General features: G+C 54.2%; 1 protein-coding gene across 2 annotated transcripts in view, besides 6 other annotated features; it reads right to left on the bottom strand.

Moving 5' to 3' along the window:
* NCS1 (neuronal calcium sensor 1) overlaps nucleotides 1-17356 on the bottom strand; it is a 64900-nt gene that overhangs the window by 14375 nt on the left and 33169 nt on the right. For both annotated transcript variants that reach the window (NM_014286.4, NM_001128826.2), the window contains exons 3-5: nucleotides 4959-5097; nucleotides 3126-3204; nucleotides 191-279 (exon numbers count right to left, since the gene is read on the bottom strand). In NM_014286.4, coding sequence (NP_055101.2) covers nucleotides 191-279; nucleotides 3126-3204; nucleotides 4959-5097 — 307 coding nt within the window. The remainder of the gene's footprint in view (nucleotides 1-190; nucleotides 280-3125; nucleotides 3205-4958; nucleotides 5098-17356) is intronic.
* Nucleotides 2836-3798: an enhancer, noted in NCBI's record as "H3K4me1 hESC enhancer chr9:132981410-132982372 (GRCh37/hg19 assembly coordinates)". NCBI's record gives its function as "activates a minimal SCP1, AML or CMV promoter by ChIP-STARR-seq in primed H9 embryonic stem cells {active_cell/tissue: H9 hESC(primed)}" and the evidence as "EXISTENCE:reporter gene assay evidence [ECO:0000049][PMID:30033119]".
* Nucleotides 5925-6219: a silencer, noted in NCBI's record as "tiled region #5428; HepG2 Repressive non-DNase unmatched - State 13:Ctcf, and K562 Repressive DNase matched - State 12:CtcfO". NCBI's record gives its function as "represses a minimal TATA promoter and a strong SV40 promoter by Sharpr-MPRA in HepG2 and K562 cells {active_cell/tissue: HepG2 | K562}" and the evidence as "EXISTENCE:reporter gene assay evidence [ECO:0000049][PMID:27701403]".
* Nucleotides 6953-7609: an enhancer, noted in NCBI's record as "H3K27ac-H3K4me1 hESC enhancer chr9:132977599-132978255 (GRCh37/hg19 assembly coordinates)". NCBI's record gives its function as "activates a minimal SCP1, AML or CMV promoter by ChIP-STARR-seq in naive H9 embryonic stem cells {active_cell/tissue: H9 hESC(naive)}" and the evidence as "EXISTENCE:reporter gene assay evidence [ECO:0000049][PMID:30033119]".
* Nucleotides 8272-8459: a silencer, noted in NCBI's record as "fragment chr9:132976749-132976936 (GRCh37/hg19 assembly coordinates)". NCBI's record gives its function as "represses an EF-1alpha promoter that drives an FKBP-Casp9 reporter gene in an ReSE screen in HepG2 liver carcinoma cells {active_cell/tissue: HepG2}" and the evidence as "EXISTENCE:reporter gene assay evidence [ECO:0000049][PMID:32094911]".
* Nucleotides 11864-12555: an enhancer, noted in NCBI's record as "H3K27ac-H3K4me1 hESC enhancer chr9:132972653-132973344 (GRCh37/hg19 assembly coordinates)". NCBI's record gives its function as "activates a minimal SCP1, AML or CMV promoter by ChIP-STARR-seq in naive H9 embryonic stem cells {active_cell/tissue: H9 hESC(naive)}" and the evidence as "EXISTENCE:reporter gene assay evidence [ECO:0000049][PMID:30033119]".
* Nucleotides 13248-13939: an enhancer, noted in NCBI's record as "H3K27ac-H3K4me1 hESC enhancer chr9:132971269-132971960 (GRCh37/hg19 assembly coordinates)". NCBI's record gives its function as "activates a minimal SCP1, AML or CMV promoter by ChIP-STARR-seq in primed H9 embryonic stem cells {active_cell/tissue: H9 hESC(primed)}" and the evidence as "EXISTENCE:reporter gene assay evidence [ECO:0000049][PMID:30033119]".

Below are 17356 nucleotides of genomic sequence, written 5' to 3'. Positions count from 1 at the left end.
CACACCCCAGCCCCACTATCTACCAGCTTGTGCCTGCCTGCCCAGGCAGAGATGTACAGAACGGCTCAGCCAGTGACCCCTGCTTCCACCCTGGGCAGGAGCATGGCTGCACAAGTGCTCTCTCTCTGTCTCTCAGTCACTGGCTTTGCCCCTCCTGCCACCCCTAACCACACGAGACCCGGCTTCTCACCACCATCTGGTAAATGGCATCCACAATGTCCAGCATCTCATTCCTGGTGATGTAGCCATCATTGTCCAAGTCGTAGAGCTTGAAGGCCCCTGTAAGCAAGCAGCACTGCTGAGTGATCCTGGGCTGGGGCAGTGGGGAGGGGTCTTCAACTCGCCCCTCCTCTCTGTACCCCAACATGAAGTCAGCGACCGGATGGCCCATTCCTCATCAGGTCAACTAATATTTACATCAGGATAGACAGGGACAGACACACACACACCATTGCAACTAGGGTTAAAAAAAATAAGGCTGGGCATGGTGGCTCACACCTGTAATCCCAGGACTTTGGGAGGCTGAGGTGAGCAGACTGCTTGAGCCCAGGAGTTCGAGACCAGCCTGGACAACATGGCAAAACCCCGTCTCTACAAAAATACAAAAATTAGCCAGGCCTGGTGGCGGTGCCTGTAGTTCCAGCTACTTGGGAGGTTGAGGTGGGAGGATGGCTTGAGCCCAGGAGGCGAAGTTTGCAATAAGCCGAGATCAAGCCACTGCACTCCAGCCTGGGTGACAGAGCAAGTCTCTCTCCCTCTCTCTCTCTGTATATACATATATATATACGTATATATATATACACATATATATATACGTATATATATATACACACACACATATATATATTTATAGATACATAATTTATATTTATGTATATATATTTATAGATACATAATTTATATTTATGTATATATATTTATATACATAATTTATATTTATGTATATATATTTATATACATAATTTATATTTATGTATATATATTTATATATACATAATTTATATTTATGTATATATATTTATATATACATAATTTATATTTATGTATTATGTATATATATTTATATATACATAATTTATATTTATGTATATATATTTATATATACATAATTTATATTTATGTATATATATTTATATATACATAATTTATATTTATGTGTATATATATATTTATTTATTTATAAATTAAAAATAACAGGGCCAGGCACAGTGACTCACCCCTATAATCCCAGCACTTTGGGAGGCCGAGGCGGGCAGATCACCTGAGGTCAGGAGTTGGAGAACAGCCTGGCCAACAGGATGAAACCCCTTCTCTACTAAAAATACAAAAATTAGCCAGGTGTGGTGGCGGGCGCCTGTAGTTCCAGCTACTTGGGAGGAGGTGAGAGGATGGCTTGAGCCCAGGAGGCGAAGGTTGCAATAAGCCGAGATCGAACTACTGCACTCTAGCCTGGGTGACAGAGCAAGACTCTCTCTTTCTCTCTCTCTCTCTCTCTCTCTCTCTCTCTCTCTCTCTATATATATATATATATATATATATATATATATATATGATATTTTATATATATATTAAATATTTTATATATATATATATTAAAAATAACAGGGCCAGGCACGGTGGCTCACACCTGTAATTCCAGCACTTTGGAAGGCCAAGGTGGGTGGATCATCTGAGGTCAGGAGTTCGAGACCAGCCTGGCCAACATGGCGAAACCCCATTTCTACTAAAAACACAAAAATTAGCCAGGTGTGGTGGCACATGCCTGTAATCCCAGCTACTTGGGAGGCTGAAGCAGGAGAATTGCTTGAACCCAGGAGGCAGAGATTGTAGTGGGCCGAGATTGTGCCACTGCACTCCAGCCTGAGCAACAGAGCGAGACTCTGTCTATAAATAAATAAACAAATAAAATAAAGGGATGGGGCATTGGGCTGCCAGGGCCGAGGTATCAGTGGCTGGAGCTGAGTGCGTGGGAGAGCCCGGGGCCTGGGATGTTACCCAGAGGAGCACCCCTCTCCTTCCCCCAACTCCAGCCCCCACCTCCTCCCCACAGTCCACTCTGCTCCCACAATTATGGTGTGGCCTGCTACAGTCAACATTAGAAAATAAAATAGTGCATTGAGAGGAGGAGCTTTTGCATAAATAAAGTTCTCTTTTATTTCTTAAAAAAAAAAAAAAGAAAGAAAGAAAAAGAAAAAGAAACTGCAGGGTCTTCTTGCTGCCGATGGACTGAAGTGTGAAAGTCTTACTGAGCAGGGAGTTCTGGCCAGCTGGTTTCCATCTTCCCTCCCCTCCACGCACCCTGCATTCCTCCTAATGCCGCCAGGGGCCTGCACAGCTTCCCCTCCCAACTCCCTCTCAGCCTCCCTCCACTGGGCCTCGCACACGCGGGCCCCCTGGCTGGAGCCCTTAACGCCCCCTCCCCAGCTCCTCTCATCCCCAGCTCCTCTCATCCCCAGCTCTGCGCCTACCAGGCAGGTCCTCTCCTGCTCACAACTCCCTCTCTCCTCCTTGCCTGCAGTTTCCTGAGGTTTTTTTTTAAATCCTGCTGCCACTCTAGACTGATCGCCCTGAGAGCAGGGACCCATCTATCTTATCCCCCAGTGGATCCCTGGTACCAACACGTGGCTGCATTCAGTCGTTATTTGGTCAATGAATGAGTGAGTAAGTGAATGACTGAAAGCAAGAATCAAAGCAATGGCTATGAAAGAGGTGGGTCCGGCACTGAACCTGGGTCTTGGGTCCCCACCGACCCTCCTGCGGCCCAAGTCTGCACCTGCCCGAGTGCAGCCAAGGCTCCTGCCAGCCTCTGCCCCCAGCCCTCCCTGTCCACCTGCCTCAGCGAGCTCCTTCCTGCTGCCGGTGCCTCCAGGAAACCCTCCCACCTGGAAGCACAGATGTCTGCGCTGCTCTCTGAACCCTGGACAGTCAGCCTGGCCTAGTTACGTGGCCGTGTGAGGGCCACCTGCCCAGGGCCCAGGCCTGCCCTCTGCAGACACAGCTGGGACGCCATCTGTGGTCACTGCAGTGGGTGTCTGGCACCCCTGCCTGGTGAGGGCCGAGGGCTGCCTCCCTCTGACCTGGGCCCTCCAGCTGCTGCCACACAGGGCCAAGGGGGCAGGACTTACACCGTAGCTTCTCATCCAGGGTTCCCCGTGAGGTCACCGACAGCGCCTGGATGAACTCGGAGAACTCAATTCGCCCGTCCTGACAGGAGAGAGAGGGGATTGCCTCAGTCAGTGCCGGCCAGGCCACCGGGTCAGGCTGAACCTCGGGACGGGCGAGGGGCAGTCGCAGGCTCCAGACACTGTGGCCAATGGACACTCAGGTGGAGAGGGCAGGCTCGAAGGAATGGGGGGCGAGAGGCAAGGAGAGGGTGGGGAGCAGAGGCTGGGGGACTGTGTGGGGGGTTAGAAGTGGGAGAGGCCAGGAGGGAGGCACAGGAAGAAGGACTGAGGCTGAACGGAGAGGCTTACTCCACTCTTGATGGGAGAAGGTGCCAGAAGCACCAATGCCTGAGCTCCTCTCAGCAACAGCCCGGAAGCCCCTCGGCCTAGAGCTGTGGGCTCATGGGCTTTTGCAGAGGAAAGGCCGCTGCAGGTTGTTTAATTCCACCTCTTATTTGCAAATGAAGAAACCGAGGCCCAAGAAGGGAAGAGCCCTTCCCAGGGTCAGGCATGTGACTCCCAGCCTGGGGGCACCTGGGAGAAGCTGGGGATGGGATAGAATAGAAACCTCCACGGTGCCAGCAGCAGGGGGTACAGAGACAAGTGGCAGTAAATCCACCCTCAAATGCTACTGCAGGACAGAATCAGGGTCATCGCAGATAACCCAACAGCTATCCGTGCAGCCACTGCCCGGAGGTGACACAAGCTACCACATGGTAAGTCTTGAAAACATGATGCTCAGTGGAAAACGCCAGGAACAAAAGATCCTATAGCCTACGATTCTCAGAGCCTCAGTTTCCTGACCTACAAAATGGGTATTAAAATACCCAGCTCCCAGGTGCTTGTAAGGCCTCATTAAAAATAATCCATGTATGGCCGGGCAAGGGGGCTTACACCTGAAATCCCAGCACTTTGGGAGACCAAGGTGGGTGGATCATCTGAGGTCAGGAGTTCAAGACCAGCCTGGGCAATACGGTGAAACCCCATCTCTACTAAAAATACAAAAATTAGCCAGGTGTGGTGACGGCGCCTGTAATCCCAGCTTCTCAGGAGGCTGAGGCAGGGGAATTGCTTGAATCTGGGAGGCAGAGGTTGCAGTGAATTGAGACTGCACCACTGCACTCCAGCCTCGGCAACAGAGCAAGACTCTGTCTCAAAAAAAAAAAAAATCCATGTAAAGAGCTTAAACATAGTAAATGTTCAGGAAATATTGGTTATTATTATTAATCCTGTTATTATCATGGGAGGTATTTGCATTTTATGCTTGTAAGAGAAGTGTCAGGGTGTACATGTGTATACATGCATGTGTGTTGTGCACTGTATACATATGCATATGTGTATATGTCTCTCTGTGTGTACACGTGTGTGCACCTGCAAGTCCATGCATTGTGTGCATATGTGTGCATTTCTGTGCACTGTATGAATATACATGTATGTTCACGTGTGTGGCTGCATCTCCATGTATGTGTGCCCACATGTGTGCATGGTATTCGCCTGCATGTGCACATACACGTCTGTGTGAGAGCTTGGATGTGCATGTCAGTACATGTGTGGGTGTACATATGTGTGCACACATGTGCATGCATTTGGATGCATCTGTGTTTATTGTGTGTCTGCATGTGTACATGTGCATGCATTTATGTGCGACTATGTATCTGTGCATGTCAGTATGCACTCGTGTGTGTGTTCCTTCTCTAGAAGGGAACATCGGCAGGAGAGAGTGGGTGTGGAGACGCTGCGGGTACCCACAGGAGCTGAGCCAGCTGCCGCAGGCCCCATCAATCCCCAGCTCACCTTGTTTTCATCAAAGACGTTGAAAACAAATGTGGCAAACTTGGTGGGGTCTCCGAACGGGAAGAATTGCTTGTAGATCTTCTGGAAGCCTGCCGCATCCAGCTGCCCACTGGGGCAGTCCTTGATGAAGCCTTTGTACCTGGAGGCAGCAGACCGGGCCAGAGAGGGTAAAGGAGACGCCAACATCACCCACCCACCACCAACATCGCCTGCCCGGGGCCCAGGAAAGCTGTGGCTCCTTGTTCAAAGAGATGGTGCCCCATGGGGCCATGGACTTGATAGGCACAGGCGCAGTCCCACCTCTGCCTCTCACTAGCAGTGTGACCTTGGATACAGACTTCACCTCTCCTAGCCTCGTCTGCATAAGGGGGTTACGAACTGACATAGGAATTAACCCAGATACTGCACACAGAGTGAGCACTTGGCCACCCAGCCCTGTGCTCCACCCAAGGGGGCTAAAACAAGAGTCACATGAATGGCCTCCCCAAAGCCGCATGCCTGCACAAGACCCTCCCACCTCCCCACCTTCTCTGCTGAGCCCCTCCTGGCATCAGGCTGGGTGGGCTGCTGCTGGTGCTGGTGGGTAGACCACCATATGGAGCCAGCAGGTGGCTCCTCCCACATGCCCACACCCTGCCCCTCAGTCTCTGTTCCCAGGGAACTGGGTAAACAGCATGGGGGGATCCTGGCTGTTCCAACTGGACTTGTCCACCCTGCAGTCCCAGTGCCCAGCACAAAACCCTCCAGATCCCTACGTGGCTGACGCCGGAATGGCTTTGCACTCCCAATCCCAGGACAGATCTCTGCCATTCACTGCCTGTACAGCCTCAAGCAAACGCCCTCACCTGTCTGAGCCTCAGTTTCCTCATCCATAACAAGGGATGGTTCTCATACCCCTCTTGTTGGTATCAGGGGACATGGTGCATGTAACCACAGGGCTTAGCACAAAAATGAGTCGAGAGTGTGATCTTTAGAATTGTGAACTTAAATATGTGTTGTTCTAAACCCAATTCACAAACTGGCTCCTGTAGGCAGTTTAACCACCCCTCCCGCCCCACCCCCAGGAGGACACGCACTCCTCAGAGGACGATTCCTTCCACATCGGGAAGCCAGAGAGAGAGGTCATCTATCACCAACACCGGCTATTAGCTTTGCAGGGCCTGACGCGACTGGGAACTCTGCACACCTTACTCTCCCAGGATGCCCCTAATGGCCCTGAGAAGGTACTACGAGGAAGCCTTTTTTTTTTTTTTTTGAGACAGAGTCTCACTGTGTCGCCCAGGCTGGAGTGCAGTGGCAGGATCACGGCTCACTGCAACCTCCACCTCCCGGGTTCAAGCGATTCTCCTGCCTCAGCCTCCCGAGTAGCTGGGATTACAGGCATGTACCACCACACCCAGCTAATTTTTGTATTTTTAGTAGAGACAGGGTTTTGCCATGTTGGCCAGGCTGGTGTCGAACCCCTGACCTCAGGAGATCTGCCCGCCTCGGCCTCCCAAAGTGCTGGGATTACAGGCGTGAGCCACAGTGCCCGGCCGAGGAAGCCCATTTTACAGATGAAGAAACAGGCTCAGAGAGAGGAAGACATTTGCAAGTCCTCGAAGCCCGGACTACAGCTGAGGTGGGATCGAAGGTGAATGCTGAAGAGGCCGACGCTCAGAGAAGCCAGATCACCGAAGACTTTCACACGTCCCACTGTCCCCCATTCTAATGTGATCCACACAAAGCCTCCACCCTCCCCTCGAACATCGGAGAGGGTTATGGGAGTACCGCGCATGGTGCGCGCGGCACTCTGATTAGGGTCCATACAGAGAGGACGCACATGGAAAAGCCACCGTCCCCCTCCCCAATGAAGAGGAATCTAAGGGGCTGGAATGGATCCTGGGCACATGTGAAGGGACATGTGGGGCACCCAGGGGTGGCACCCTGAAAATTCTGCGGCCTGGAAGGTGAAGCTCAGGCACCCAGCCTCCTGCCAGTACTGTGGCTGCTGCTGCCGGAGTGAGGGCGGTTGAGGGGAGGAGGAGGATGGGGGAGGGCAGAGAAGAGGGAGCAGGATGTGGGAGGGAGGGCAGTTCTTCTTGAGTCAGACCATAGCGGGCACATGACCGTCCCAGCAGTGCCCACAGCAAGCAGGAGGCTGTGAATAGGCCAGCCCTCTGCACCTTTCCCTGTCCCCACCCCAGAACACCTTGAAGGGTGCCAGAGGCCCAGGGAGGTAGGTCCTGGCTCAGGAACCACAGGCCTTTGTAACAGCCCATAATAGCAGCCCAAACCCAGGCACTGTGCTGAGAGGGTGGTTCCCTCGGCAGGTCGGCCCAACCATCCCATTTCACAGATGAGGCACTGAGGCACAGAGAGATCAGGAGATTCATCCACAGCAATGCGTGAGACTCGGAGCCCGCCCTGCCTCTCCTGTCCTCTGCCCTGCCGGCCAGTGTGCGACCCCAGCATCCGTCCCTCCCGTGCATGTGATGTCCGCAGGCCCACCCAGAATCCCTGCAGCCTGGCAGGACTCTCAGGGTCTACTGGCCTCTGCTCAGCCCTGAGGTCTGTTCTGAGCCCCTGCTTGGATTGGCCAAGCAAGAAGGAAGCAAAGCACACGGATCTCAAGTCCCTTCCCACAGCAGGAGGAAGGGACACAGCCACCCCCGTCCTGGCCCTTAAACCTGCCTTCTCCCTGCTTCTTTTGAGTTTCTTCTGTTTCAGCCTGGCCCATGACTCCAGACTCCCAGGCCAGGATGGGCCCCTGGGCAGAGGAGGGAACATGCCTGGCACCAGGACTTAATGACCCATGTGGGGGCACACCCAACTGTCACCAGACATCTCTGGATGTCAGATGGTTACTTCTTCTTCGTGCAAACCTTCTAACTTATCCACAATGACTTTGTGTTACTTGAGTGATTCTAAAAGGTTATTAAAAACAATAAAGACAAAACAAAAGGCACCCAAAGGCCTCCCTGCAGATGGCTCACAGGGGCTGCTCTAAGGAGATGGAGGCTGTGCACAGCGCCAGCACAGTGAGCAGCTGTGAAAGGCTGGCAGTGAAGGTCTTTGCAGAGGGAAACTGGCTTCAGTGGGGAGCCTTTGGGGGCCTATCCAGTTACCCCTGCAGAGGTTATTACTGTGGGGCCCCAGCTCCCTTCTGTGCCAATAGCAGGGGCCCCAAGAAGCCCCCCATGAGGTGATGTCCATGAGAGGGTGCCCAGCCTGATGTTCCAGCTTCCTCCTGCCAAACCCCCCATACTCCACACCCAGACTTCAGACAGGCTCCTCTGAGCCCTCTTCTCACTTGGCCTCGACCTGTCCCCTGGCCCCTCCCCTGCTCTTCAGCCTGCCTGGCCCAGCTGTAGCCAGAATCCCCACCCCCACGATATCTGATCAAGTGCCTCCTCCCCAGTTCGCTTCACGTGTGAGTCCTCGTCCCGCCTCCAGCATCAGCCTGCCCAGTCAGTTCAGCAGGAATCCCCTGCCCTGGAGGCCTCCTCTTAGTTTCCATCTGCTGACCCCTCACCCTGTTCATTGGCTGTGAAGCCTCACTTCCTTGCATTCGGAGTTGATTCCCCTCTCTCTCCCAGGTTGTGATAGTCCTGACACCTATTGCAAGAGTCCCCAGTGAAGCCTTCCTGACCATTTTAAGAAGCGTGAGAATATCGCTTTCTTTAACATGGGCCCACCCACTCTCCCGCCAGGCCCCAGCTTAGATGCTGCTGCTTTCAGGAAGTCGGCCCAGCCCCAGGTCTGAGGCCTCCGGGCCTCCTCTGTGCCCCTGCCCACTTGTCTGTCCCAGCAGAGCCTGTACCACGCTATACCATATGTGCCTCCACGCCAGTCCCCCACCGGAATGTAGGCCCCCTGACACCGCTGTGCCCTGATGACCCGCATGAGGCCTGGCATGTAACATGGTCCTGGGGCATGTTTGTCCGGTGAGGTGAATGAATAAACACACAAATTGCCAGGCAGGGGCAGAGGGAACAAGAGCCCAGTTGGCGTCTGGCTCCTTCTTCCTGAGCCCCATGGAACAGGGACCTCCAGAGACCCTGGCTGAGACCTAAGAGCTCTGTGGGCACAGTTAGAAAACCACTGAGGTGTGGCCAGGCATGGTGGCTCACGCCTGTAATTCCAGCACTTTGGGAGGCAGAGGTGGGCGGATCATTTGAGGTCAGGAGTTTGAGACCAGCCTGGCCAACATGGTGAAACCCTGTCTCTACTATATATACAAAATAAGCACGTGCCTCATGTCTCTAATCCCAGCTACTCAGGAGGCTGAGGTAGGAGAATCACTTGAACCCAGGAGTCAGAGGTTGCAGTGAGCCGAGATCACGCCACTGCACTCCAGCCTGGGCGATAAAGTGAGGCTCCATCTCAAAAAAAAAGAAAAGAAAACCGGTGGGCCAGGCGTGGTGACTCACACCTGTAATCCCAGCACTTTGGGAGGCTGAGACGGGCGGATCACAAGGTCAGGAGATGGAGACCATCCTGGCTGACACGGTGAAACCCCGTCTCTACTAAAAATACAAAAAAATTAGCCGGGCGTGGTGGCGGGCGCCTGTAAGTCCCAGCTACTCAGGAGGCTGAGGCAGGAGAATGGTGAGAACCCAGGAGGCGGAGCTTGCAGTGAGCCGAGATCACGCCACTGCACTCCAGCCTGGGGGACAGAGCGAGACTCCGTCTCAAAAGAAAAAAAAAGAAAGAAAAGAAAACCAGTGATGTGCTCCCACCCTCTGTGTATGGAGAAGACTGGCCCAGAGAGGGAGAGAGACAGGCCGAAAGTCACACAGCAAGTCACCAGCAGAAACAGGGCTCAGACCCAGGGCTCCTGCCTCCCAGGCTCCCCGCCTCACCTGCCCCTCCGGCAAGCCAGGCTGCACCGCCCCCGTGTAAGCGCATGGGTAAAGCGACTGCTACCCAAACATTACGTAACCTCCTGCTCATCATCAGAAGGTGGAGGAGGGAGCCTGCCTCAACTGGAGCAGAGAGACGGGATGGGGGGGTCTGAACCTTCCCAGCCACCCCAGCCACCCCCAGGCCTCTACCACCCTGCAAATCACAGCTGTGAGGCTGGGATTTCACACCATGGTCCCAGCCTGACGTGCCACCCATCTGCCACCGGCTGGCTGAGTCAGGACCCCCTGAAGCAGCTGCACACTCCCTCTTGCAGTGGGCACCCGAGTGAGCTGCTGGCATATGATGAAGATCATGCCCAAGAATTTTGTCCCCAGGATGCCTGAGAGACGTGACTCCATCCCCCACTCCTGCAGGTTCCCACAGGCCCGGACCTCCTCCCTCCCCTCCTGCCAGTCCCTCCCTCTCTCCTTCAGACACGCTGCCGCCAGACCTGCTCTGGTGCTGGGACACGGGCCTGTGCCCCTGGCCTGGCACTAACCTGTTGTGCTGGGGGAGGACCCTGAGCAAACCCCTTCCCCACAACGCCCCTCGGTTTCCCTGTGAGTAAAGTAAGTGGCTCATACTAGATCAGGGTTTCCCCACCCCGGCACTCCTGACGTTCGGGGCCAGGTCGCTGTCGTGCAGGCCTGTCCTGTGCATAGTAGACACTTAGCAGCATCTCCAGCCTCTGCCAGACAGATGCCAGTAGCACCCCCTCCCCAAGTTAGGACAACCTCAAGTGTCTCCAGACATTGCCAAATATCCCCTCGGGGGCAGAACCACCCAGGTTGAGAACCACTGGACCAGATGGTCTCTGGGGACCCCCACAAGCTCAGGGGATCCGCCATAAGCATCTGTGATTCTAACGGCTATTCAGGAGATCTGAGAGGCAGGCACGCGGCCGTGTGCTTTCCAGGAACGATTCTGCCCCATCGTCCCAACATCCAGAAGGTGAGGCCAATCCCGCCCACTTTGCCAATGGAGAAACTGAGGTTTCTGGAGGTGAAGGCCCCTCCTGGCTCAGGGCGTCCATATGGATGTCTTCCACATGGTCTGCCCTTCCCCCTCCTCCCCACCTGCCTGACTCCACTCACCGCTTCCTTCTCGGCACCAGAGCATCTCCCTGAGAGAAGCCTCTCTGACCACCCCAGGCCGGGTCATGCTCCAGGACACACTCCCAGCACCCCATCCCCCAGCTGGGCCTTGGTGGCACCTCAAGCAGCTGTGCCTTGGGAATGATTTGAGTGACTTGTGCAGTGACAGGCCACGGGCTGTTGAGGCAGGAGCCCTATCTTCTAGTTCACCTCCAAACCTGCACCGCCCACTCCTGTGCCTGGCAAACATAGTAGTCACTCAGTTAACGTCAGGCTCACACAGCTAGCCAACGAGGTGGCCAGGACCAGAGCCCATACTCCAGAATGGGAGCTGCCTCTGTGCTCGGTACCAGGAAGGGGAGAGAGGGACCGGCTCTCCTGGCCCTGCCCACCTCTCTGACAGCCAGGTGGAAGCCGAAAGTCCTCCGCGGACCTGATTTCTTCCACATCTTCTGCTTGATTCCAGACCCACAGTGGAAGGGACAGGAGTCCCAGCATCATTGCTGGCTCAGGCCAGGCCAGGGTGGAGGAGTAGAGATGGCACCAGGAACAACCCGTTATCCCGAGTCTCCCTGCAGACTGGCGACTCAAGGTGCTCAGCATGGTCAGGGGTTCAGGGCAGGATCTCGGAGTCCAGCCCCAGCATCTCCAGGCTCCAGAGGATGGATGGCTCTGGGGGTCCACCATGCAGGCCCCCAATTTCAGATAAGTGCTTCATGTGTGCAGGAGAAAGGGGTGGCAGAGGGGTCCCTATGATTATCATTATGATTGTGAATATCCGTGATTATTTTCACTGGTGGCATTGAGCATACAGGAACTCTGTAATATAAAACAGGAGGCTGGGTCAGGTGGCTCACACCTGGAATCCCAGCACTTTGGGAGGCCGAAGCAGGAGGATCACCTGAGCCCAGGAGTTTGAGACCACCCCGGGCAACATAGCAAGACCCCATCTCTCTACAAAAAAAAAAAAAAAAAAAAATTAGTGGAGCCGGGCACAGTGGCTTGTGTTTGTCCTCCTAGCTGTTTGGGAGGCTGAAGGAGGAGGGTCCCTTGAGCCCAAAAGTTTGAGGTTGCAGTGAGCTATGATCACACCATTACACTCCAGCCTGGGCAACAAAGCCAGACCCTGTCTCAAAAAAAAAAAAAGAAAAGAAAAAGAAAAAGGTGTTGAATTTTTTTTCTTTTTAAGTTTAAGAAACTGAAAAAGAAGGGCTCAAGCTTCAGTCCTGGCTTGATCCTGCCCCACTCTTGACCTGTGTGTGACCTGGGGCAGGTGACGGTTCCCCTCAGAGTCTCGGTTTCCTCATCTGTGAGGTGAGAGCCAACCTTACACCCTCCTTTCAGACCCCTGAGTGGGCCTGGACAAATGAGCTGAGATTGTTAACACCACAGGACGTCCTGAGCACTGGCCATGCCCCAAGCCCTGATCTACGACCTCCACAAACACCAGAGCCAGTGGCCAGGGACAGCCCAACCCCCGTTACCTCGTCCCACCAGCTGTCCCAAGAGGAAGGTTCCACAATACCCTCCCGAGTCCCCACTCTGGCCCCATGGGAAGTCCTTCCCTTTCTTTCTTTTTTTTTTTTTTTCTAAGACTGAGTCTCACTCTGTCACCCAGGCTGGAGTACAGGGGCACGATCTACACTCACTGCAACTTCCGCCTCCCAGGTTCAAGCAATTCTCCTGCCTCAGCCTCCCGAGTAGCTGGGACTACAGGTGCGTGCCACCATGCCCAGCTAAGTTTTGTATTTTTAGTAGAGACGGGGTTTCATCATGTTGGCCAGACTGGTCTTGAACTCCTGACCTCATGATCTGGCCGCCTCAACCTCCCAAAATGCTGGGATTACAGGTGTGAGCCATCGCGCCTGGCCGGGAAGTCCTTCCTAATACCCAGTCTCCTAGTACATGGGCGGGGACGTACCAAGACCCCTCACTGCCCCTCCCCACCCAGTAACTCAGCCCGAGATGTTTATACAGAGGCCACACCTCACACAACCTTGTTCGCGAACAGGGTCTTAACTCTTTGGGGTCCAGAGACCCCTTTGGGGATTAGAGAAGAGCCATGGTGCCAGACCTCAGAGGCAGGCCCAGGCTGTGAAGAACGGGGCCTGCGATCCCCAGCCACGGGAAGCCGAGGTTTCTGATATGGTTGACTGTGTTTGGGAACCAGCTCCACGAGACAGGGTAGAGATGAGAAAAGAAAATCCTAGATTCAACAACGGCGTTCTTACACTTCTTTAAAAGGGCAGGGGAGAAAAGAAACCTCATTTCATAAAAATCCTGAAAGCTGACTACCACTTGCAAAACAGTTCCCACGCCAGCGCTGGGTCTCCTCCCACACCTCCCACCTTCTCTTCCCCAACACGGCGCCAGGCTGGGTGAATGCCCTCGTCCACCAGGAGACTCCAAGCACCTCGCCCCCCTCAGTCCCGGATGCCCGCCCGCAACCGGCACTGGCCTGGCATAGAGTAGGTGCTCAGTCAAGATGTACTGAATGAATCAGTGAACAAATGAACCAATGATTGAATGCTCCCAGGACACACGGGTCCAACTCCACTTTGGCCTCTAGTTCTCTGAGGGCCTGAGCAAGCCCCCGCACTGCCAGGCCTCAGTCTCCCAAACGCCCCGGTCCTCTAGGACTTCCCCCGAATTTGCCACTCTCAGTTCCTGCAGACTCATGTCCTCTGGGATCCTGCTGGGAGGCCAGCCCTGCATTTCCTGCCATGCTGATGATACTGCGGCAGCTGCTCTCTGCAGTGCAAAAGGTGGGACAGAGATTGCTAGACGGATAAATCATAAAGCATTACCCCAAGCTGCAATCAGCCAGGCGCAGCGGGGATGGGCGCAGCGGCAGCCTCGGCAAATTATTCTCCCATTATCTCTTCAAACAACTCTCTCCAGTGGCATGCCCCTCCCCACACTCCCTGGAGACCTGGAGGAGGGTCCCAAACAGCCATGAGATGGTTCCTCTTCCTTTCCCTTCCCCCCAGTAGCCTCCGGTTTTACAGGTTTCCCAGAGCAAGAAAGCAAGAAGCCGGCGGGTCTGAGCCCCAATATTCAGGACCACGGAGGCAGAGCGAGCTGGACCCAGACTCCACACACACACACACACAGAGCTGTGTGACCTGGGCAAGGGTCTCCACCCTTCTGAGCCTCAGTCTCTTCATCTGTAAAATGGGGCCGCTCCTCGTATTCTCCGCACGGCACCGTTTCATCAGCACTGTGCCTGCCCGCAGGAAAGCCCCCAGTGTGTTGCTGAGAGGCTGTCTCCGCGCCCACTCTGCATGGCGCGGCCCAGAATCAACAGCTGGCCGTGTTGATGCGAGGACAGAATTCCTCCGGCTTCCACCCACTACTTTTGCTATCATATTGCTAGGATATTTGGTTATTATAAAAGTAATAAAACCCATTGTAGAGTCAGGCGCAGTGGCTCATGCCCATAATCCCAGCACTTTGGGAGGCCGAGGTGGGCATTTCCTGAGGTCAGGAGTTTGAGACCAGCCTGGCCAACGTGAAACCCCCGTCTCTACTAAAAATACAAAAATTAGCCAGGCGTGGTGGTGGGTGCCTGTAATCCCAGCTACTCGGGAGGCTGAGGCAGGAGAATCGTTTGAACCCAGGAGGCAGAGTTGCAGTGAGCCAAGATTGTACCACTGCACTCCAGCCTGGGCAACCAAGCGAGACTGTCTCAAAAAAAAAAATAGTTGCAGAAAAGTTGGAAAATAGGACACATAATCCACCAGAGGACACCCGCCCCCCACCCCCACCTCACACACCCACGACCAGCCTCAGCCTGCATCCATCCCATCTTTCTTCTCTGCCTACATTTTTTCCATCATGGACTGGTGCCCGATGACGGTGTGTACCCTGCTGTCTCCACTCAGGATAATGCCCTCATCACTTTCCAGGTGATTACAGAGCTCACAGTCACCTTTACAGGCCTGGGATCTGCCATTTCTTAAGCAGCCCTCATTGTGGTTCCTGATCTTCCACGACGGTGAATTGGGCTCAAGTGAGCAGGAACTAAGATAAAAGAACAAGGGATGGGGAAGCGGGGGATACTGGGCTGGCTGCAGACCCGGAAGCTGGCTGTGGACACCAATGCCGGCTCTACCTCTCAAAGCCTCCAGCTTCCTCCCTCTGCCAAATACAGACAACGGCACCAGCAGCTCAGAGCTGGGAGGCACCAAGGAGCTGGCACCGTGGGATGCCCAGTGCGGAGCCTGGTGCAGGGTGAGCATGCCCAGTTGGCCTGGCCCGGGCCTCCTATTGCCGTGCCCTGGCCTGTGCTCTCCTGGGGACTTGGGACCTGACCGGCACTGGAGCCCGAGTTCTAGTCCAGGCTCTGCTTCTACTGACTTTGCGGCCCAGGACAAATCACAGAATCACTTAAGACCCTGTATGGCAGCTGCTATATGTCAGCACAAACCCAGATGACCCTAGATTGTACAGGACAGACAGGGACCTCCTCTCTGAGCAGCTGACTGGGGTGAAGGTGTGACTATCGAGACAGAACAAGCCATGCCGAGACTGGAGGCCACAGTCTCCTTAGCAAAAGGAACAGCAGGGGCAGAGGCTCTGAGGTGGGATGAGCTCGGCACAGGTGAGGGACAGCAAGTGTGGCCAGTGCACGGTGACCCAGGGGAAAAGTTGAGGTCAGAGACCTCAGGGAGCCCTGTGGGCGAGGCAAGGTGCTAGGGCTTTATTCTAAGTGCAGCGGGAAGTCACAGAGGGGCTGTCCCATTTTCCAAAGCTCTAGCAGAGGCTGTATGGGGCCAAGAACAGCAGAGCCAGCATAGGCAGGCAGCAGCCCAGTGAGGCCGAGGCTGTGGCACCACTGCAGACCAGGGGCTCGGACCCGTGTGGCCAGGGGCTGGGATCAGATTCAGGATCTGCTGTCTGGGGGAGGCAGGCTGGCTGGGCTGAGGAGCTGGACATGAGGCAAGGGAACAAGAGGGCTAGTAACATGTGTGCAGAGACAAGGGGAGCCCCACACATGTGATGAACAAAGAGAGACAGGAGGCTGTCGAAGCCACTTCCTCGGCTGAAGCTGACCTGGCGCTTCTCAGGTGGGAGAGGAAAACCATGTCCACTGTGGCCCGCTGCTCCCTGAATGTCCCTCCCTCCTACTGCCGCTCCCACCCCGGATGGCTGGACCCTACACTGCCTGTTGCCCTGAAAGCCGGGGCTCAGGAATCCTGCATTTTCCCAAGAGAGAGGCAGGCACGGGTGGAGTCTCTGGCTGTCGGGTGTCCTGAGAGTTGTTCAGAACAAGAACGGGGCCGGGCGCGGTGGCTCACACATGTAATCCCAGCACTTTGGGAGGCTGAGGTGGGCGGATCATCTGAGGTCAGGAGTTCGAGACCAGCCTGGCCAGCGTGGTGAAATCACCACCTCTACTAAAAATACAAAAATTAGCTGGGCATGGTGGCAGGGGCCTGTAATCCCAACTACTCGAGAAGCTGAGGCAAGAGAATCACTTGAACCCAGGAGGTAGAGATTGCAGTGAGTTGAGATCGTGCCACTGCACTCTAGCCTGGGCGACCGAGTGAGACTCCATCTCAGGAAAAAAAAAAAAAAAAAAAAGAAAGAAAGAAAAGAAAAAGAACAAGAATGGGTGCCAGCTGGAGGCCACGGTGAGAAAGGGCCCTCTGAAAATGGGCCAGGGTGTTTGGGATGCAGGTGCTCACCTCATTTGCCTTCTGTGCAAAGGACAGAGGGGACAGTGGGCCTGGCGAATCCAGCCCGTGAGTAGGCAGGCTCGTGGTTAACCAGTGAAGTTTAAGACAATCAAGGAATAGCAAACTGGTTTATTTTGTATGGTAACAGCAGTTCCCCTGGCTCCCAGAGCACAGAGCAACATACTCTGTAATCCATTACTGATGTCTGCCATGGGCACAGGAGGGCAGAGTGTCACTGTCTAACCATCCCTGGTCTAGCGTCGCCCTGAGGGGATGGGACCATTGTAGAATACAACAGTGAAGTGGGTAGTGGGCTGACCTAGGAGAGCCAGAGAAAGGCATTGGTTCAACCATCTCCTAGCCTTCAAGGTACTGCCAAAATGAACCACAGGATATTTACTTGAGACACACAGAACTTTTCTCTGCCAGAGGGCAGAGAAAAGACCACCTATTTTCTTATCTTTTTTTTTTTTTTAAGACAGGGTCTCACTCTGTCACCTAAGCTGGAGTACAGTGACACAATCATAGCTCACTGCAGCCTTGACCTCTGGGGCCCAAGCGATCTTCCCATCTCAGCCAAGTAGCTGGGACCATAGGCATGTGCCACCATGTCCAGCTTTTTTTTTTTTTTCTTTTGTAGAGACGAGATCACCTTATGTGCCCAGGCTGGTCTCAAACTCCTGGGCTCAAATGATCCTCTGCCTTGGCCTCCCAAATTGCTGGGATTACACGTGTG

The sequence above is a fragment of the Homo sapiens genome, chromosome 9 (assembly GCF_000001405.40).
Source record: "Homo sapiens chromosome 9, GRCh38.p14 Primary Assembly".
In the NCBI taxonomy this organism is placed as follows: Eukaryota; Metazoa; Chordata; class Mammalia; order Primates; family Hominidae; genus Homo; species Homo sapiens.
The sequence above is the reverse complement of the archived record's forward strand: the minus strand, read 5'-3'. Positions and strand labels throughout refer to the sequence as shown.